Source organism: Homo sapiens, chromosome 19 (assembly GCF_000001405.40).
Source record: "Homo sapiens chromosome 19, GRCh38.p14 Primary Assembly".
NCBI classification, from domain to species: Eukaryota; Metazoa; Chordata; class Mammalia; order Primates; family Hominidae; genus Homo; species Homo sapiens.
Genome location: NC_000019.10, coordinates 8,525,730 through 8,547,593, shown reverse-complemented (window position 1 = coordinate 8,547,593; position 21,864 = coordinate 8,525,730). Strand labels below are relative to the sequence as shown.

The 21,864-nt window shown below is 52.6% G+C and overlaps 1 protein-coding gene and 1 long non-coding RNA gene across 16 annotated transcripts in view, besides 1 other annotated feature; one reads left to right on the top strand and one right to left on the bottom strand.

The window, feature by feature from the left end:
• The window catches only part of MYO1F (myosin IF), a 56,665-nt gene that overhangs the window by 29,849 nt on the left and 4,952 nt on the right, over nt 1-21,864 (top strand). For 3 of the 14 annotated variants that reach the window (NM_001348355.2, NM_012335.4, NM_001440612.1), the window contains exons 13-24: nt 1,858-1,944; nt 3,130-3,297; nt 5,603-5,688; nt 7,566-7,647; nt 10,539-10,645; nt 10,997-11,095; nt 11,198-11,342; nt 17,021-17,135; nt 17,229-17,398; nt 20,111-20,256; nt 20,659-20,805; nt 20,993-21,141. In NM_001348355.2, the coding sequence (NP_001335284.1) occupies nt 1,858-1,944; nt 3,130-3,297; nt 5,603-5,688; nt 7,566-7,647; nt 10,539-10,645; nt 10,997-11,095; nt 11,198-11,342; nt 17,021-17,135; nt 17,229-17,398; nt 20,111-20,256; nt 20,659-20,805; nt 20,993-21,141 (1,501 nt within the window). Of the gene's footprint in view, nt 1-1,857; nt 1,945-3,129; nt 3,298-5,587; nt 5,689-7,565; nt 7,648-10,538; nt 10,646-10,947; nt 11,096-11,167; nt 11,343-17,020; nt 17,136-17,228; nt 17,399-20,110; nt 20,257-20,658; nt 20,806-20,992; nt 21,142-21,864 lie in introns of those variants that run through there. The other 11 variants (NR_199720.1, NR_199722.1, NR_199721.1 and 8 more) reach the window with 11 other exon arrangements.
• LOC124904633 (uncharacterized) lies at nt 269-21,149 on the bottom strand. Of its 2 annotated transcripts, none has more exons than XR_007067131.1 (3): nt 21,050-21,149; nt 7,706-7,862; nt 269-1,509 (listed from the first exon to the last, which is right to left on the bottom strand). It is a non-coding gene; the product is annotated as an uncharacterized LOC124904633 (long non-coding RNA). The 2 variants fall into 2 exon arrangements; XR_007067130.1 differs by lacking the exon at nt 269-1,509 and adding an exon at nt 1,920-1,998.
• Nucleotides 20,866-21,841: an enhancer, noted in NCBI's record as "H3K27ac hESC enhancer chr19:8590637-8591612 (GRCh37/hg19 assembly coordinates)". NCBI's record gives its function as "activates a minimal SCP1, AML or CMV promoter by ChIP-STARR-seq in naive and primed H9 embryonic stem cells {active_cell/tissue: H9 hESC(naive and primed)}" and the evidence as "EXISTENCE:reporter gene assay evidence [ECO:0000049][PMID:30033119]".

Below are 21,864 nucleotides of genomic sequence, written 5' to 3'. Positions count from 1 at the left end.
CTCGTTCTGTCACCCAGGCTGGAGTGCAGTGGCATGATCTCGGCTCACTGCAACCTCCGCCTCCAGAGTTCAAGTGATTCTCCTGCCTCAGCCTCCCGAGCAGCTGGGACTACAGGCACCCACCACCATGCCCAGCTAATTTTTGTATTTTTAGTAGAGACAGGGTTTCATCATATTGGCCAGACTGGTCTCAAACTCCTGACCTCGTGATCCACCCACCTCAGCCTCCCAAAGTGCTGGGATTACAGATGGGAGCCACCATTCCCCGCTTTTTTTTTTTTTTTTTTTTTTTTGAGACAGGAACTCGCTCTGTTGTCCAGGCTGGAGTGCAGTGGTGTGATCACAGGTCACTGCAGTCTACACCTCCTGGGCTCAAGCAATCCTCCCACTTCAGCCTCTCAAGTAGCTGGGACCGCAGGCACACACCATCATGCCTGGCTAATATTTTAAAACTTTTTTGTAGAGTTGGTGTTTCACTTTGTTGCCCAGATTGGTCTTGAACTCCTGGCCTCAAGCAATCCTCCTGCCTTGGCCTGCCAAAGTGCTGGGACTACAGGCATGAGTTAATATGCCCAGTCCTGAGACAGGGATTTTTTTAACAAAGAGAGAGAGAGAGGCTGGGTGCAGTGGCTCACGCCTGTAATCCCAGCACTTTGGGAGGCTGAGGTGGGTGGATCACCTGAGGTCAGGAGTTTGAGACCAGCCTGGCCAACATGGTGAAACCCCATCTCTACTAAAAATATAAAACTTAGCCAGGTGTGGTGCTGGGCACCTGTAATCCCAGCTACTCAGGAGTCTGAGGCAGGAGAATTGCTTGAACCCAGGAGGCAGAGCTTGTAGTGAGTCGAGATTGTGCCATTGCACTCCAGCCTGGGCAACAGCAGAATGAGACCCTGTCTCAAAAAAGAAAAGAAAAAAAGAGAGAGACAGACCGAGCCAGACACAATCACTCACACCTATAGTCCCAGCTATCTAGGAGGCTAAGTTAAGAGGATCGCTTGAGCCTGGGGGTTCAAAGCCAGCCTGGACAACATAGTGAGACCTCATCTCTACAAAAAACATAAAAATTAGCCAGGCATGGTGGTGTGCTCCTACGGTCCCAGCTACTCGGAAGGCTGAGATGAGAGGATCACTTGAACCCTGGAGGTCAAGGTTGCAGTGAGCTAGGATCGCATCGCTGAGTTCCAGCCTGGGTAACAGAGCAAAACCCGGTCTCAAAAAAAAAAAGCAAGCTGTGTGCGGTGGCTCATGCCTGTAATCCCAGCACTTTGGGAGGCCGAGGTGGGCAGATGTCCTGAGGTTGGGAGTTCGAGACCAGCCTGACCAACATGGAGAAACCCCATCTCTACTAAAAATACAAAATTAGTCCGGCGTGGTGGCACATACCTGTAATCCCAGCTTCTCGGGAGGCTGAGGCAGGAGAATCGCTTGAACTCGGGAGGCGGAGGTTGCGATGAGCCAAGATCGTGCCATTGCACTCCAGCCTAGGCAACAGGAGTGAAACTCCATCTCAAAAAAAAAAAAAAAAAAAAAAAAAGAGTCAAAATAGTGTGTTAATGAGCACGTTATGCTGTGGACAACCGGAATGCAACTGCACTGGGACTCGAGGAGGCTTCATAGAGCGGAGAAGCGAGGGAGCTGGGGTATTTATCCACCCACTCCTGTTGATTATTGGTCAAGGACTGCTGAAACCAGATGTAATTCCCTGGCACTTCCAGCCTTGCCCACATAGGAGTGACGGGCTTTGTTACCAGAGACAGTCCTAAGTGATGAGATGGAGAAGGGGAGAGGACATGGGGGGAAGGGTGGCCACAACTTTTTCACTGGCCCCCACATCCACCCCCTTTTCCACCCCAGGAGGAGTATGTGCAGGAAGGCATCCGCTGGACTCCAATCCAGTACTTCAACAACAAGGTCGTCTGTGACCTCATCGAAAACAAGCTGGTGAGGGCTGGGTCAACTTTGGCGGGGGCGTCTCACTGGTCCCCTGAGCTGAGTCTGGAAGATGAGGGGGAGGGCCAAGGGTGTTATGGCATCCTCAGGCCCTTCTCTACCCTACACTCAGGACTTCCAGCGACAGATAACAACCAAAATGTCCCTTCCGCCCCTCATCCATTCATTCCGCCTACTTGTCCACCTTTCACTTAATCATTCAATAAACATTTCCCCGGGAACCCCAGCTCACAGTTAGAGTCAAATTTGCAGATTCCATGCCGGTGGCTCACGCCTGTAATCCCAGCACTTTGGGAGGCCAAGGTGGGCGGATCACCTGAGGTCAGGAGTTCGAGACCAGCCTGACCAATATGGTGAAAACCTGTCTCTACTAAAAATACAAAAAATTAGCCAGGCGTGGTGGCAGGCGCCTGTAATCCCAGCTACCCGGAAGGCTGAGGTGGGAGGATCACTTGAGCCCAGGAAGTCAAGGGTGCAGTGAGCTATGATTGCACCACCACACTCCAGCCTGAGGAACAGAACAAGACCCTGTCTCAAAAAAAATTAAATTTAAGACGTATTTAGGCGGGACATGGTGGCTCATGCCTGTAATCCCAGCACTTTGGGAGGCCAAGGCAGGTGGATCACCTGAGGCCAAGAGTTCGAAACCAGCCTGGCCAACATGGTGAAACCCCATCTCTACTAAAAAATACAAAAATTAGCCGGGCATGGTGGCGGCATGCCTGTAATCCCAGCTACTCAGGAGGCTGAAGCAGGAGAATCACTCGAACCTGGGAGATGGAGGCTGCAGTGAGCTGAGATCACGCCACTGCTCTCCAGCCTGGGCAAGAGAGCAAGACTCCGTCTCTAAATAAATAAATAAATACATAAGGCAGGTCCCCCTACCAAGGGATTCTAGTCTGGGGCCTGAATCTCTTGAGGGGTCCCCACCCACTTCTGCACCTCAGCGAGCTTCCACAGTAGCCCCACACACCCTTGCCCCCCTATCCCTTCCATCCCTGACCCCTGCAACGCCTTTTGTGCTTGTATTTGAAGCCCCTGGTGCCCTCCCCACCCCCAAAGCTCTAGCTCCCTCCACTCCTCCACCCCCTCCCTCCCCTAATCTCTGCACTGACGAGCTGTGGGGAGGCAAGGCAGACCAAACTGAGCCGCTGCTGGCTCCCGCTCGCCCCGCAGAGCCCCCCAGGCATCATGAGCGTCTTGGACGACGTGTGCGCCACCATGCACGCCACGGGCGGGGGAGCAGACCAGACACTGCTGCAGAAGCTGCAGGCGGCTGTGGGGACCCACGAGCATTTCAACAGCTGGAGCGCCGGCTTCGTCATCCACCACTACGCTGGCAAGGTGCGCCCCCTGCCCCTACCCTACCCTGTGCCTCCTCGCAGACCCCCAGGGCTCCAGGCTGTAGCCCCCACCCTCCAGCACCCAGGCTGGAAAGAGCCTGCTAGGACCCTTATCCAGGGCTGTAGAATTCCACTGTCCCCCGCCTCAATCCACCCCCTACTAACCAGAACTACAGACCCTTCCGGCTGACCCCCCAGGAACTCTCTAAGCCCCAAACTTGTCTGGACACCACCACCACCACCACCACCACCACCAGCACCGCCACCGCCACCGCCACCGCCACCGCCACCGCCACCACCAGCACCACCACCAGCACCAGCACCAGCACCACCACCACCACCACCACCAGCACCACCAGCACCACCACCACCACCACCACCACCACCACCACCACCACCAGCACCACCACCACCACCACCAGCACCACCAGCACCACCAGCACCACCACCACCACCACCACCACCACCACCACCACCACCACCACCAGCACCACCAGCACCACCACCACCAGCACCACCAGCACCACCAGCACCACCACCACCACCACCACCAGCACCACCAGCACCACCAGCACCACCACCACCACCAGCACCACCACCACCACCACCACCACCACCACCAGCACCACCACCACCACCACCAGCACCACCACCACCACCGTGTTCCCTGGGCCAGGGCTGCAGAAACCCTGACCTCTGATCCAGGCCACAGCTTCCCTTACACATCAACTCCCCTAACAGAGGGAACAGAATTCCCCCCGATTAACACCAGCTTGGGTACCAGACTGCCTATGTTCAGATAAGCCCCAATGTGAGTCATAACCCCCTGACTAGGACACAGCCCCCCACCTTCTGATCCCAATTTGGAGAGGAAATCCCCAAAGCCCCCAGGCCCCTCCTGTGAGCCACCAGCCTTCAAAATGTGCTGAAGCCTCCTACAGACCCCTACCGAAGGCTACAGAAATCCACTGGACTCTAACCATGCCCGCAGCCCCACTCCCCAAAAGACAGGACTACACTCTCAGGCAGTGATCCAAGGATCTCACAACATGAGAGCAGAAGTTCCTAGGAGTGCCCCTAAAATGGGCTGGAGAGGCTGGGAGTGGTGGCTCACGCCTGTAATCCCAGCACTTTGGGAGGCTGAGGCGGGTGGATCACCTGAGGTCAGGAGTTCAAGACCAGCCTGGCCAACATGGTGAAACCCAGTCTCTACTAAAAATACAAAAATCAGCCGGGCGTGGTCGTGGGCACCTGTAATCCCAGCTACTCAGGAGGCTGAGGCAGGAGAATCACTTGAATCCAAGAGGTGGAGGTTGCAGTAAGCCAAGATTGTGCCACAGCACTCCAGCCTGAGCAACAGAGCAAGACTCCATCTCACAAAACAAAAGCAAACAGGGCCGGGTGCAGTGGCTCACGCCTATAATCCCAGCACTTTGGGAGGCTGAGGCGGGCGGATCACAAGGTCAGGAGATCGAGACCATCCTGGCTAACATATTGAAACCCCGTCTCTATTAAAAATAAAAAAAAAAATCAGCCAGGTGTGGTGGCACACGCCTGTAATCCCAGCTCATCGGGAGGCTGAGACAGGAGAATCACTTGATCCCGGAAGGCGGAGGTTGCAGTGAGCTGAGATCGTGTCATTGCACTCCAGCCTGGGTGATAGAGCAAGACTCTTTCTCAAAAAAAAAAAAAAGCAAACAAACAAAAACAAAAACGGCTGGAGCTCCCATGTTCCCTCAGCCAGGGTTGCAAAAGCCCTGCTCAGAACTACAGAGGGCCCTAACCTTTGGTAGCAGCTCCAGCCCCCAACCCTGGCTGAAATGCCCCCAGAGATCCCTGAGACAGGGCTGTTACCCTCCTGACACAGGCCCCCTGCACTGGCCCCTGATTGACCAGGTCACAGATATCCAATCTGACCTCTGACTCCCAGGGACCCCCCCGCCAGGCTGCAGCCCCCCACCCACCAATCTGAGCTATAACTTTCACCGCCCCCCGGCCTCTGATGCAAGCTGCAGCTCTCTCCTGGCTCATCTAGGTTGTAACCCCCACCTCCCCTTACCTCTGACCTGGGATACAGCCACGATCCTCTAACCTCAACTTGAACATCAGCTCTCCAGGAAGCCCGCCCCCCATCCCCTATTCTGAACTGTAGATACCCCCCAGCCAGCGCTGTAGACACTGCCTGATCCTCTCACCCCACAGCAGGCCCCAGGAAAGCCTTGACCACCTGGGCTGTAAGCACCCCACGCCCACCCTCCCAGCCAGGTTTCTCAGTCCCTCACTGTCCTCAGCACTGTCCCCTCCAGGTCTCCTACGACGTCAGCGGCTTCTGCGAGAGGAACCGAGACGTTCTCTTCTCCGACCTCATAGAGCTGATGCAGACCAGTGAGCAGTGAGTGGTCCCAGGCATGGGGACCTCCGGCTACAACCCCCCAAGGGGATGGAGGGAGGACCGGGCCCCACTCCATCTTACCCAGAACTGCCATCTCGCCACAAACTCGAGGGGAGTGGCTGTGCGGCCAGGATGGTGTTTCTATGGACTAGTTCTGATGTAAAAAGTAACTCCAGAGGCCGGGCGCAGTGGCTCACGCCTGTAATCCCAGCACTTTGGGAGGCCGAAGTGGACAAATCTCTTGAGGCCAAGAGTTTGAGACCAGCCTGGGCAACATGGCAAAACCTTGTCTCTACTAAAATTATAAAAATTACCTAGGCGTGGTGGCGCGCACCTGTAATTCCAGCTACTCAGGAGGTGGAAGCATAAGAATCTCTTGAACCCAGGAGGCAGAGGTTGCAATGAGCCAAGATTGTGCCACTGCACTCCAGCCTGGGCGACAGAGGGAGATTCTGTCTCAAAAAAAAAAAAAAAAAAAAACACACACACACACACACACACAAAGAACATAGCATTAGATGTAAAGTAATAAGACGGGGATCCTTAAAGTGTTTGACATGTGGTTCTTAGACCAGCAACCTGAGCATCCTTGGGCCTTGTTTCCAGTGCAGAATCTCCCTAGCCAGAAGGATCACTGGAGGTCCCAAGTTTAAGACCAGCCTGGGCAACATAGCAAGACCCCTGTCTCTTAAAAAAAAATTCTTTTTTTTAAATGCTTGTCTACTCTGCCAGCAAAAATAATAATAATTAATTAATTAGCTGGGTGTGGTGGCACATGCCTATAGTCCCAGCTACTCGGGAGGCTGAGATAGAAGGATCACTTGAGCCTAGGAGGTGGAGGCTACAGTGAGCCGTGATTGCACCACTGCACTCCAGCCTTGGCAACAGACCTTATCTCTGAGGGGAAAAAAAAGGCAGAACCTCAAACTCCACCCCAGACCTCCAGAATCAGAATCTGCATCTGATTCTGAACTATCAGAATCTGAACAATCAGGTTTAGAACTATCGGAACCTAACCTGATCTTTAAGCCAGGATGCACCCATGCCTCCCAGGGATCCATGTGCACGTAAGGGTTTCAGCAGCACTTACCATTAAATCCACCCACTTTAAGCAGTGTCTCAATCCATGACGTTTAGCAAATTCACAGAATTGCGCAACCATCACCACAATCCGATTTTTTTTTTTTTTTTTTGGAGACAGTGTCTCTCACCCTGCCGCCCAGGCTGGAGTGCAGTGGCACGATCTCGGCTCACTGCAACCTCCACCTCCTGGGTTCAAGCGATTCTCCTGCCTCAGCCTCCCGAGTAGCTGGGATTATAGACGCCCACCATCATGCCCCGCTAATTTTTGTATTTTTAGTAGAGACAGGGTTTCACCATGTTGGTCAGGCTTGTCTCAAACTCCTGACTTCAGGTGATCCACCTGCCTCAGCCTCCCAAAGTGCTGGGATTACAGGCATGCACCACCGCACCCGGCCTTATTAACCATTTTAAAATGTACAATTTATCCGTGTTGTTCCCTTTTTGTGACAAAGAAAAAATAAAGGAAATAAATAAATAAATAAAATAAGATAAAATGAAATGAAATGTACAATTCAGTGGCATTCAATACATTCACACATTGGCTTGAGCCCAGGAGTTCCAGGCTGCAGTTCCTATCATCGCACCAATGCGCCCCAACCTGGAGGACAAAGCGAGGCCCTGCCTCAAAAAACAAACCAAAAAACCAACCCTCTGCATCTCACCCATCACAGCTCCCCTCCACATTGAGAGAACCATATTTTGCGTTGCGGCATTGAGGCTGCCCCACCCCTGGAGGAAGAGTACCCGAAAGTCTAGCCATACCTCCAACTCCTCCTCTCCCCTTTCCTACCCAGGGCCTTCCTCCGGATGCTCTTCCCCGAGAAGCTGGATGGAGACAAGAAGGGGCGCCCCAGCACCGCCGGCTCCAAGATCAAGGTGGGCCTGGGGTGTACAACGGGGAGCTGGGCCTGCAGAGGGCTGAGTTCCACCCTACCTGGGGTCCGGACTCTGTTTCTCTCATTCCAACGTCTGTCTGTCTACCAATCCTGGGGCTTCTGCCTCTGACTGTGACGTCATCTGTTCAGCAGGGTCTTCCTCCAGCTCTGGGTTTAGGGAGCTTGAACCAGCTTCTTGGAGGTCTCCATCAACTCCTTCAATGCAGAAGTAGACCATTATTCTAATACATTTTTGTTTGGTCTTTAGTCATTTACCATTTTTTAAATTTGTGGTAAAATATACATGACATAAAATTTATCATCTTAATAATATCCAATAATTTTTTTTTTTGAGACAGAGTCTTGCTCTGTCACCCAGGATGGAGTGCAGTGGCACAATCTGGGCCCTCTGCAACCTCCGCCTCCTGGGTTCAAGTGATTCTTCTGCCTCAGCCTCCTAAGTAGCTGGGATTACAAGCATGCGCCACCACACCCAGCTAATTTTGTTTTTTTGTTGGTTTGGTTTTTTTTTTGAGATGGAGTTTCACTCTTGTTGCCTAGGCTGGAGTGCAATGGCGTGATCTCGGCTCACCACAACCTCTGCCTCTTGGGTTCAAGTGATTCTCCTGCCTCAGCCTCCCAAGTAGCTGGGATTACAGGCATGCACCACCATGCCCGGCTAATTTTGTATTTTCAGTAGAGACAGGGTTTCACCATGTTGGCCAGGCTATTCTCGAACTCCCGACCTCAGGTGATCCGCCTGCCTCAGCCTCCCAAAGCGCTGGGATTACAGGTGTGAGCCACCGCGCTCGGCCTAATTTTGTATTTTCAGTAGAGATGGGGTTTCACCATGTGGGCCAGGCTGGTCTCCTGACCCCAGGTGATCCGCCCACCTCAGCCTCCCAAAGTGCTGGGATTACAGGCGTGAGCCACTGTACCCAGCCTATCTAATAATATTTTAACCAGTTTTAATGTTCAGTGGTATTAAGTGCATTCATATGGTTGTGCAACCATCACCACTACCCATCTCCAGAACTTTCTCATCTTCCCAAACTGAAACTGTGTCCCCAGGAAACACTGCCTATCTGCTTTCCAAGTCCCTGGCACTCACCATTCTGTTGCTATGAATGTGACAACAAATCTAGTCTGGGCAACAAAACAAGACCCCGTCTCTATAAAAAATAAATTAAAAATTAGCCAAGCATAGTAGTGCACACCTGTGGTCCCAGCTACTTGGGAGGCTGAGGCAGGAGGATCATTTGAGCCCAGGAGGTCGAGGCTGCAGTGAACCATGATTGCACCCTGGCACTTTAGCCTGGGAACAGAGTGAGACCCTGTCTCTTAAAAAAAAAAAAAAAAAAAATCAGACCGGGAGCAATGGCTCACACCTGTAATCCCAGCACTTTCAGAGGCTGAATCGGGCAGATCACTTGAAGTCAGGATTTCAAGACCAGCCTGGCCAACATGGTGAAAGCCCATCTCTACTAAAAATACAAAATTTAGCCAGCATATGCCTGTAATCCCAGCTACTCAGGAGGCTGAGGCAGGAGAATTGCTTGAACTTGGGAGATGGAGGTTGCAGTGAGCCAAGAGCCACTGCACTCCAGCCTGGATGACAGAGCAAGACCCTGTCTCAGATAAATTAATAAATAAATACTAAAATAAAATAAAATAAAAATGCAAGCCAGGCACAGTGGCTCAAGCCTGTAATCCCAGGACTTTGGGAGGCTGAGGCAGGTGGATCACCTGAGGTCAGGAGTTGAAGACCAGCCCAGCCAACATGGTGAAACCCCGTCTCTACTAAAAATATATATATAAAAAAAAAGGAGCTGGGTGTGGTGGCAGCTACTCGGAAGGCTGAGGTGGGAGAATCACTTGAACCTGGGAGACGGAGGTTGCAGTGAGCCGAGATCATGCCACTGCACTCCAGCCTGGCAACAGAGCGAGATTTTGTCTCCAAATAAAAATAAAAATAAAAATAAAACAAAATGCAAAACCCAAGGCAAACCTCTCAGGCATACACACAGTTTCCCTACCTCCAAAGTACATGTCTTAGCCAGGCACAGTGGCTCAGACCTGTAATCCTAGCTACTCCGGAGGCTAAGGCAGTTGATCGCTTGAGCACAGGAGGCTGAGGCTACAGTGAACTATCACGGCGCCACTATACCCCAGCCTGAGTGACAGAGGGAGACCCTGTCTCAAAAAAAATCACCCAGCCAGGTATAGTGGCTCATGCCTGTAATCCCAACACCTTGGGAGCCAGAGGTGGATGGATCACCTGAGGTCAGGAGTTCATGACCAGCCTGACCAACATGGCAAAACCCTGTCTCTACTAAAAATTATCCGGGTGTGGTGGCACATGCCTGTAATCCCAGCTACTTGGGAGGCTGAGGCAGAAGGATCTCTTGGATCCAGGTGGTGGAGGTTGCAGTGAGCCAAGATGGCACCATTGCGCTCCAGCCTGGGTGACAGAGCAAAATTCCATCTCAAAACAAAATAAAACAGAACAAAACAAAAAAAACAAACACCCAAGGTACCTATCTCCCCAAAGGACAAAAAGAAATGCTCTCATAAGGGCTCTGTTACTCAGTCAACAAACATTTACTGAGCACTTACTATGTGCCAAGGTAAGTGGTGAGTGCGGTAGACGTGAGAGCTCCTTGTCTTGGGTTCCAGGGTCAGGCAGACACCCCACATCAGTCCCACTAGTGTGGTGTGCACTAGTGGAGGTGCACACAGACCAGGGACATCTGGCCCCTGTGGCTTATCTGTTACCAGCCCTCACCCACCCCCAGTCTCTGTCTATTGGGACTGTATCCAGGGTGGAAAAAAGAGGGGCCAGAGGGTCCCATCTCTGTGCCCCCCACCCACCCGTCTTCACTTCTGCCTCAGAAACAAGCCAACGACCTGGTGGCCACACTGATGAGGTGCACACCCCACTACATCCGCTGCATCAAACCCAACGAGACCAAGAGGCCCCGAGACTGGGAGGAGAACAGGTGATCCCCCCCAACCAATCCAAGATTCATTCCCCCCAGGCCCTGCAGTTACCCCTAGAACTGACCGAGACACCTCCCTGACCTCCTGTAGGATGACCCAGGGACTAGCACAGCCCCTCCCACAATCCCCCACCTGCAGAACTGACCCCAGAAGGGACCATCAGGACAAGATCCCTCCCCCCAGTCCCCAGGCTGACCCCCGAAGCCCCCCCAGACCACAGAACTCACCCCCCAAACTTCCCTCAGCATGAATCCAGATCCCCCCAGGTCCCCCACCTCCAGCACCTCCCACCCACCCCCAGGACTGGTGACTCCCCACCCCGAGGGGACTCAGCCTACCCTCCCCACCAGAGTCAAGCACCAGGTGGAATACCTGGGCCTGAAGGAGAACATCAGGGTGCGCAGAGCCGGCTTCGCCTACCGCCGCCAGTTCGCCAAATTCCTGCAGAGGTGAGGAGCCCTCCACCCCCGCCCTCGCCATCCCCTTCATCAGAACGCCCAGCCAGGCCTGTCTGCTATGAGCACTCCCACACCCCAGCCCTCCGCCCTCAGGTATGCCATTCTGACCCCCGAGACGTGGCCGCGGTGGCGTGGGGACGAACGCCAGGGCGTCCAGCACCTGCTTCGGGCGGTCAACATGGAGCCCGACCAGTACCAGATGGGGAGCACCAAGGTCTTTGTCAAGAACCCAGAGTCGGTGAGTGTGTTTGAGGGACAGGCAGAGAAGGAGAGGGGAAGAGAGAGAAAGGTATAGAGAGGGACTGAGAGAGAGAGAGAGAGACAGAGGGAGACAGAGATTGAGAGAAAGACTGATAGATTGAGAAATTGAGAAACAGATTGAGAGAGAGGGATTGACAGAGAAACTGAGATAGAGGTTGAGAGAGAAATTGAGAAAGCAAGTGAGAGATTAATAGACTGAAAGTAAGAGACTGAGAGAGACTGAGCGAGAGATTAAGAAAGACTGCGACTGCCGGGCGCGGTGGCTCATGCCTGTAATCCCAGCACTTTGGGAGGCTGAGGAGGGCGGATCACAAGGCCAGGAGATCGAGACCATCCTGGCTAACACAGTGAAACCGCGTCTCTACTAAAAATACAAAAAAAATTAGCCGGGCATGGTGGCGGGCACCTGTGGTCCCAGCTACTCAGGAGGCTGAGGCAGAAGAATGGCTTGAACCCAGGAGGCAGAGGTTGCAGTGAGCCGAGATCACGCCACTGCACTCCAGCCTGGGCGACAGAGCGAGACTCCGTCTCAAAAAAAAAAAAGAAAGAAAGAATGTGATTGAGAGATTGAGAGAGAGAGATTGAGAGAGACACTCTGGAAGAAATAGACCAAAAATTTTGACATAGAACAGAAAAAAGGCAAAATAAAACTAGCACCAAGTCAGGTGTGGTAGCGCATGCCTGTAATATCAGTGCTTTGGGAGGCTGAGGCAGGAGGATGGTTTGAAGCCAGGAGTTCGAGACCAGCCTGGGAAACATAGTGAGACCCTGTCTCTACAAAAGACAAAAAGAAAAAAGAAAAATAACTATCACCAGCAAAGACTATATAAAGTAAAATTTAATTTAGACAAAAATTTCAGTCTATAGATTTTGATTTGGAGAAGACGGACGGGGTAGAAATAATGAAATTCACGATGGCAGATGCTTAGTGGTAAAATCCTATAAGAACATCAACAACAAAGACAGACTGAATATTTATAAAAGAAAGAAAATAATCCTGATGAAAATAATCTTGCTGGCCAGGCGCACTGGCTCACACCTGTAATCTCAGCAATTTGGGAGGCTGAGGTGGATGGATCACTTGAGGTCAGGAGTTTGAGACCAGCCTGGCCAACATGGTGAAACCCCTTCTCTATTAAAAGTACAAAAATTAGCTGGGCGTGGTGGTGCACACCTGTAATACCAGCTACTCAGGAGGCTGAGGCAGGAAAATCACTTTAACCCAGGAGGCAGAGGCTGAAGTGAGCCAAGATCGTGCCACTGCACTCAAGCCTGGGCAACAGTAATTTAATTTTAGTAAAATAAGCTGGGTGCAGTGGCTCACGCCTATAATCTCAACACTTTGGGAAGCCGAGGCGAGTGGATCACGAGGTCAGGAGTTCAAGACCAGCCCGACCAACATGGTGAAACCCCGTCTCTTCTACAAATACAAAAAATTAGCCAAGTGTGGTGGTGCGCACCTGTAATCCCAGCTACTCAGGAGGCTGAGGCAGGAGAATCACTCAAACCCAGGAGGCAGAGGTTGCAGTGAGCCGAGATCGCACCACTGCACTCTAGCCTGGGCAACAGAGTGAGACTCCATCTCAAAAAAAAAAAAATTAGTAAAATGAAAATAGAAGAAAAGGCCAGGCACGGTGGCTCACAACTGTAATCCCAGCACTTTGGGAGGCCAGGGTGGTGGATCACTTGAGGTTAGGAGTTCGAGACCAGCCTGGCCAACATGGGGAAACCCCATCTCTACTAAAAATACAAAATAAGCCGGGCATGGTGACACGTGCCTGTAATCCCAGCTACCTGGGAGGCTGAGGCAGGAGAATTGCTCGAACCTGGGAGGCAGAGGTTGCAGTGAGCTGAGATTGCGCCACTGCACTCCAGCCTGGGGGACAAAGTGAGACTCTGAAAAAAAGAAAAGAAAAGAAAAGAAAAATAGCCAACGGTTTAACTGTGCTATATTTAAAAAGTAATCAAGAAATTAAATTAGCTTAATGGAGTTGGAGCCTTTCTCAACCAAAAATGCATTCATGTTGGGATGAATTTTTTTTTTTTTTTTTAGACAGAGTCTCGCTCTGTCACCCAGGCTAAAGTGGAATGGCGCAATCTTGGCTCACTGCAACCTCCACCTTCCTGGTTCAAGCAATTCTCCTGCCTCAGCCTCCCAAGTAGCTGGAATTACAGGCACCCGCCACCACACCAGGCTAATTTTTGTGTTTTTAATAGAGATGGGTTTTCACCCTGTTGGCCAGGCTGGTCTCCTGACCTCAAGTGATCTGCCCACCTCAGCCTCCCAAAGTGCTGGGATTATATGCATGAGCCACCGCGCCCGGCCCCTATTTTGATTTTCTTATGAACATGGTTTGGGCCATCCTCAAACATTTTATCTGCCTGTTGGCCTTTGTGGCCCAGCATCCCAGGTATGTTATAATAGTCTGCTGGGACAGCTGAAACAAAGTTCCACAAACTCCATGGCTTAACACAACAGCAATTTATTCTCTCACAGTTCCGCAGGTCAGAAGTCCAAAATCAAGGTGTTGGCATGGCCATACTCTCTAAAGGTTTTAAAGAAGAATCTGAGGCTAAGCGTGCTGGCTCACGCCTGTAATTCCCAGCACTTTGGGAGGCCGAGGCAGGCGGATCATGAGGTCAGGAGATTGAGACCACCCTGGCTAACACAGCAAAACTATGTCTCTACTAAAAAAATACAAAAAAGTTAGCCAGGCATGGTGGCGGGCGCCTGTAGTCCCAGCTACTCGGGAGGCTGAGGCAGGAGAATGGCGTGAACCCAGGAGACGGAGCTTGCAGTGAGCCAAGATCGCACCACTGCACTCCAGCCTGAGCGACAGAGCAAGACTCCGTCTCAAAAAAAAAAAAAAAGAAGAAGAAGAAGAAGAAGAAGAATCTGAGGCTGGGCACGCTGGCTCACGCCTGTAATCCCAGCACTTTGGGAGGTCAAGGCTGGTAGATTCCTTGAGCCCAGGAGTTCCAGACGAGTCTGGACAACATGGCAAAACCCCAACTCTACCTCTCTACCAAAAAAATATATATATAATAATACCATAATTAGCCTTGAGTGGCTGAGGTGGGAGGATCCCTTGAGCCCGGGAGCCGAGATCGCACCACTGCACTCCAGCCTGGGAAACAGAGCAAGACCCTGTCTCTGAAAAAATTAAAACTATTTTGGTCAGCAGAGCAGGGAGCAAGGCTCTTAGCAGCAATGTGCTACCTATGGACTTGGGAAAGCACTCTGGGTGAAGTGCTAATTTTTCTAAATAAAGCCCAATTGTGTGTGTGTGTGTGTGTGTGTGTGTGTGTGTGTGTGTGTGTGTGTATTTTTTTTTTTTTCTGAGACAGGATCTCACTCTATCTCCCAGGCTGGAGTGCAGTCGCACAATCACAGCTCACTGCAGCCTCAACCTCCTGGGCTCAAAGAATCCTCCCACCTCACCCTCCGGAATAGCTGGGACTACACATGCGTGCCATCACCCTCAGCTAATTTTTGCTTAGTTTTTGTAGAGACGGGGTCTTTCTATGTTGCCCAGGCTGGTCTTGAACTCCTGGGCTCAACAATGCTCCCACCTTAGCCTCCCAAACTGCTGGGATTAGAGGCATGAGCCACCGCACCCAGCCTATATTTGCATTATTTCCCATCTTCACTAATTGACAATATTGTCCCTTTGATCACAGTTTCTCTTTGAAGTAGGATGTTTCTCAAGCATCTGCCCTATTCCAGTTAATCATTCTATTCTCTGACAGGCATGCTATTGTTTTTATTACTATAGATTTACAGTATTTTAATATCCAGTAGGTTCCTCACCTTGTTCACCTGCTGTTATTACAAATGAGTAGACATTCCTCTTAGACTTTGTACTTTGACTTGCTGTAATGTAATTCATTCTCTAAGTCCCCTCTGGGTCTAGACTTTTACAACTCAAAACCCTTTTCTCTGCTTTCTGCAAAAGCTTCCTTTCTGGGCCTGCTACGGATGGCTGTGCAGGTTGTACACTGCCCAACCACACGGTTGCTAGTCACATCACAGTTCTACACATCAGATTTTCTTTTTCTTTCTTTTTTTTTTTGAGATGGAGTTTCATTCTTTTCTTTTTTCAGGGGTCGGGGGACTGAGTCTCACTCTGTCGCCCAGGCTGGAGTGCAGTGGCGCAATCTCCGCTCACTGCAACCACCACCTCCCGAGTTCAAGCGATTCTCCTGCCTCAGCCTCCCGAGTAGCTGGGATGACAGGCATGCGCCACCACACCCGGCTAACTTTTGTATTATTAGTAGAGACGGGGTTTCACCATGTTGGCCAGGCTGGTCTCAAACTCTTGACCTCAGGTGATCCGCCCACCTCGGCCTCCCAAAATGCTGGGATTACAGGCTTGAGCCACTGCACCCGGCCACATTTTCATATTTACTGTATTTTATTGGTTTTCCAAGATGCACACTGGTTCCTATTTCTACCATCTCTGACACGGCAGTGTACCTCGTGGATAGTGTCGAGTAACAGTGTAAGAAACCGTGACATCATACCGTTTCTTGCAAAAGCACACAGGTAGTAAGTGGCACAGCTGTGATCTGAAGCTAGTGACTCACTGTTATCATGTAAGGCAGAAGTGTGTACCCCACATGGGGAGAGACGCACAGGGAGGTCCAGTCATTTGGAGGAAGATAAAAATTTTTCCAGCCTGGGCAACATGGCAAGACCACATCACCACAAAATTAGCTGGGCATGGTGGCTCACAGCTGTAGTCCCAGCTACTCAGGAGGCAGAGGTGGGAGGATCACTTGAACCCAAGAGGTTGAAGCTGCAGTGAGCTATGACTGCACCACCACACTCCAGTCTGGGCGACGGAGCGAGACCCTGTCTTTTTCTTTTTTTCTTTTTTTGAGATGAAGTTTTGCTCTTGTTGCCCAGGCTGGAGTGCAATGGCACAATCTCAGCTCACCGCAACCTCCAACTCCCAGGTTCAAGTGATTCTCCTGCCTCAGCCTCCTGAGTAGCTGGTATTACAGGCATGTGCCACCATGCCCGGCTAATTTTATGTTTTTAGTAAAGACAGGGTTTCTCCATGTTGATCAGGCTGGTCTCAAACTCCCGACCTCAGGCGATCTTCCCGCCTCAGCCTCCCAAGGCGCTGGGATTATAGGCATGAGCCACCAGCTTTTTTTGTTTTTGTTTTTTGTCTTTTTGAGATGGAGTTTCACTCTTGTTGTCCAGGCTGGAGTGCAATGGCGCGATCTCAGCTCACTGCAACCTCCGCCTCCCGGGTTCAAGTGATTCTCCTGCCTCAGGCTCCCGAGTAGCTGGGATCACAGGCATCTACCACCATGCCCAGCTAATTTCTTTTTGTATTTTTAGTAGAGATGGGGTTTCACTATGTCGGTCAGGCTCGTCTCAAACTCCTGACCTCAGGTGATCCACCCGCCTCGGCCTCCCGAAGTGCTAGGATTACAGGCGTGAGCCACTGCGCCCGGCCCCTTTTTCTTCTTTTCTTTATGAACGAGTGTCACTAGAAAGACCCCGCCTCTTAAAAAAATTAGCACATGTGTGGGGATGGGTGAGCAAAAGCGTGTGAGTAGGGTGAGCGCAGGGAAAACCCGGAACTGCAGCCCCTGGGGAGACACCAGGACTCACCCTTGCCCCCCACGACCCCCGCCCAGCTTTTCCTCCTGGAGGAGGTGCGAGAGCGAAAGTTCGATGGCTTTGCCCGAACCATCCAGAAGGCCTGGCGGCGCCACGTGGCTGTCCGGAAGTACGAGGAGATGCGGGAGGAAGGTGAGAGGCTTCGGGTAAACGGCGCGGGGTGGGGGCACAAGGACCTGGAGGAGCTGTATCAGGAGCTCTGCCCTCCACCCTCTGTCCCCGCAGCTTCCAACATCCTGCTGAACAAGAAGGAGCGGAGGCGCAACAGCATCAATCGGAACTTCGTCGGGGACTACCTGGGGCTGGAGGAGCGGCCCGAGCTGCGTCAGTTCCTGGGCAAGAGGGAGCGGGTGGACTTCGCCGATTCGGTCACCAAGTACGACCGCCGCTTCAAGGTGAGGCACTAGTGGGTGGGCACAGCAAGACCCTGACTACAGCCTGGCACCCTCACCTGGCCCAGATGCACCTGCCCACAGCCAGATATCCCCCAGCCTAGATCCATCTGTTCCATCACAGGTACACCCTCACCTGGCCCATATGCACCTGCCCACAGGCATAGATCCCCCAGCCTAGATCCATCTGTTCCATCACAGGTATACCCTCACCTGGCACAGACACACCTGTCCATAGGTATCTATCCCCCAGCCTAGATCCATCTGTTCCATCACAGGTATATCCTCACCTAGCCCAGGCACACCTGCCCACAGGTATCTATCCCCCAGCCTAGATCAATCTGTTCCATCACAGGTACATCATTACCCGGCACAGACACACCTGCCCACAGGTATACACTCAAGTATAGCAGACACAGCTGTCCATCAAACATGCACTTGTAGCCCAGACACACCTGTCAGATACACCCTCACCTGGCCAGATGCATCTCTCAACAATCACACATTCATTCACCTTGTCTAGAAGCCCCAACCACGAGGCCACCCTTGCCTATCCTAGACACACCCATCCATTAGGTACACTCTACCTTCAACCTGGAAATTAGATATACCTTCACCTGGCCCAGACACACCTGTCCACAGGTACACTCTCACCTGGCCCAGGCAGCCTAGTCCATAGGTACATGCTCTCTACAGGGATACATCACCTGACCCGTGCATTCATGCTTGGCATAGACAGCTGGGCACCTCCACCAACAGACACATCCTCTTCTGCCCCAGACAGCCCTGAACCTACGTGTACTCTAATCACCTAGCCTGGACTCTCCTGTCCACAGGTACACCCAGACTTGGCCTGTTTACCGTCACCTGTACCTGGGCGGGCCAGGTACACACTCACTTGACCCATATCTCATGTCCCAGAGAGTCACCTAGCCCAGTAACTCACCCTACCCTCACCTTAGAGAGGCCTATGTGTGGCAGGTACACACTGAGATCACCTATATACCATCTTTACCTGGATGGATAGTCTCATATGGCCTGGACACCCTCACCTACCTTGGACAAGTTTATGTGGCAGGTGCCTCCTCACATGATCTGTACAACTTCACATACCAGACACACATTATTGGGTACCTTCACCTGATCCACCCACCTGCTTTGGACAGGTCTGTGTGGCAGGTATGCCCTCTCAGGTGACCTGTATACCATCACCTTAAATGTTTTCACTGAGACAGGTATCCCCACTAGACCCAGAGAACTCTGACCGCAGGCCAGCTCAACCGGCTTGCACATTCACCCTTCTACCAGGTACACCCTCACCTGCCTTCCTGTACAAACTCATAGAGTTCAGATACACACCCGCTCACTTCCTCTCATGATCCAGATACTCCTATTTACCTGACTTGTACACCCTCACCTGAACCATAATACCTTTACCTGAGCTGGCTACAGTCACATGACCCAAGTACTTTCACCTGGTCTAAGTGTTCTCATCTGGCCCGGGAACCCATGTCCAGCAGGTGCCTTACCTACCCAGCACCTGTTCACTGACCCAAACACCCTTTTCTAGCCAACCAACCAACCAACACATTCCCATCTGACCTCGTTTCTTTTTTGTTTTTCTTTTTTGTTTTTTTGAGACAGAGTTTTGCTCTTTTGTGTGTGTGTGTTGAGTCAGAATCTTGTTATGTCGCCCAGGCTGGAGTGCAGTGGCACAACCTCGGCTCACTGCAACCTCTGCCTCCCAGGCTCAAGCAATTCTCCTGCCTCAGCCTCCCGAGTAGCTGGGACTACAGGCATGTGCCACCACGCCCAGCTAGTTTTTTGTATTTTTAGTAGAGATGGGGTTTCATGGTATTAGCCAGGATGGTCTCAATCTTCTGACCTTGTGATCCACCCACCTCAGCCTCCCAAAGTGCTGGGATTACAGGCGTGTGCCACCGCGCCTGATCTGTTATTTTTTGTTTGTTTGTTTTTGAGACAGGGTCTTGCTCTGTCACCCAGGCTGGAGTGCAGTGGCAGGATCTCGGCTCACTGCAACCTCATCCTCCTGGGTTCAAGCGATTCTCCTGTCTCAGCCTCCTGAGTAGCTGGGACTACAGGTGCCCACCACCTCGCCCAGCTAATTTTTGTATTTTTAGTAGAGACGGGGTTTCACCATGTTGGTCAGCCTGGTTTCAAACTCCTGACCTCATGATCTGCCCGCCTCGGCCTCCCAAAATGCTGGGATTACAGGCGTGAGCCATGGCACCCAGCCCTCCTTCTGTTTCTTATATAACAACTCATGGCCAGGCGTGGTGGCGCACACCTGTAATCCCAACCCTTTGGGAGGCCAAGGAGGACAGTTTGCTTGAGATCAGGAGCTCAAGACCAGCCTGGGCAACAGGGCAAAACCCTGAATCTACAAAAAATACCAAAATTAGCTGGGCATGGTGGTGCGCACCTGTGGTCCCAGCTACTCAGGAGGCTGAGGCAGGTGGATCACTCAAGCCCAGGAGGGGGAGGTTGCAGTGAGCTATGATGGCACCACTGCACTCCAGCCTGAGCGACAGAGTGAGACCCTGTCTACAAAACAGACGACTCATACACCTTCACCTGGAGGGCTCCCACCTTCCTCACCTGACCTGCCAGCACCACCCCTCTGCCTGGGGTGGATCCTCTGTGGCCAGGCTGGCCAGGCTACAGGCATCAGCCTCTAATCCTGCATCCCCACAGCCCATCAAGCGGGACTTGATCCTGACGCCCAAGTGTGTGTATGTGATTGGGCGAGAGAAAGTGAAGAAGGGACCTGAGAAGGGCCAGGTGTGTGAAGTCTTGAAGAAGAAAGTGGACATCCAGGCTCTGCGGGGAGTCTCCCTCAGGTGAAGCCAGGTCCTTACCTGCCGCACAGTCACTCTCACCTGTCCCCTGGCTGCCCTCATTCTAGTGACCCCGTCTGTTACCCTGACAATCTTACCTGGTGCCATGCCTGTAGCCCTCTGTTGGCCCCACCTGTCATGTTCACCTGCCCCCTATGCTCATGATCCTTAGATGCCAAATCCTTCCGTCCTGCACCTTACCCTCTTACTAGACCTCACCTGGCCCTCTTCTGTAACCACCTCTTCCACTCCTTGCCACATCCCCCTTTTTCTCCTACCTGGTCACCGCTGACTTGGCCCTTAGCTGACCCTTCCCTAAATCCACCTTCAGCCACCTTCATCTGTCTCTCTCACCTGTCGCCCTCACCTGTGTCCCACCTGACGCTCTCACCCGCCCCTCCCCAGCACGCGACAGGACGACTTCTTCATCCTCCAAGAGGATGCCGCCGACAGCTTCCTGGAGAGCGTCTTCAAGACCGAGTTTGTCAGCCTTCTGTGCAAGCGCTTCGAGGAGGCGACGCGGAGGCCCCTGCCCCTCACCTTCAGCGACACGTACGGCCCCGCCAACCCCAGCACCATCTCGGGGTGGTCTCGGCGCGGCGCACCCTCTCCCGCCCCACCGACCCGGCCGAACTGCGCTTCGGCCCCGGCCGCGGCCCCGCCCCTGCCCCAACCAGCGAGAGTTGGGTGGGGCGGGGGACCTCAGCCAGCGCCCCCAAGCTTTCTTCTCTCCCCATAGACTACAGTTTCGGGTGAAGAAGGAGGGCTGGGGCGGTGGCGGCACCCGCAGCGTCACCTTCTCCCGCGGCTTCGGCGACTTGGCAGTGCTCAAGGTTGGCGGTCGGACCCTCACGGTCAGCGTGGGCGATGGGCTGCCCAAGAGCTCCAGTGAGTCTGCGCGGAACTAGGGCAGAGGGGGCGGGGCCAGCGAGGCTGGTTAAGAGTGGACGAAGGCCAGGAAGGGGAGTGTCTACAGAGAGAGAGAGAGAGACTTTTGAGTTTTGTGGTTTTTTTAAGACGGAGTCTCACTCTGTCGCCCAGGCTGGAGTGTTGTGGCACGATCTTGGCTCACCGCAACCTCCGCCACCCGGGTTCAAGCGATTGTCTTGCCTCAGCCTCCCGAGTAGCTGGGATTACAGGCGCCTGCCACCGCGCCCAGCTAATTTTTGTAGTTTTAGTAGAGACGGGGTTTCACCATCTTGGCCAGGCTGGTCTTGAACTCATTACCTCATGCTCCACCCGCCTCGGCCTCCCAAAGTGCTGGGATTACAGGCGTGAGCCACTGCGCCCGGCCAGAGAGACAGACTTTTAAACAAAGGCCGCAACCAATTAGTGGGCGTGAAATGTGGAGGAGGGACGTGGCCATGGAGGAAACCAATCAAAATAGTGGGGCGGGGCCAGCAGGCTGGACCAGAGAGGGCAACAGCAAGGAAGGGGCGGGTCTAGAGAGAGAGAAAGACTGTTAAGGAGAAGACATGACCAATGCGGGGGCGAGAAATGTAGAGGGGTGCGGCCAGAGCGGCAACCCTGGAACTGGGTAGTGATGAAGGAGTGACCTAAAGTGGGCGGGCCCAAAGAGCAAGGCCAGTGAGGTGTTGGGCCCTTGGGGGG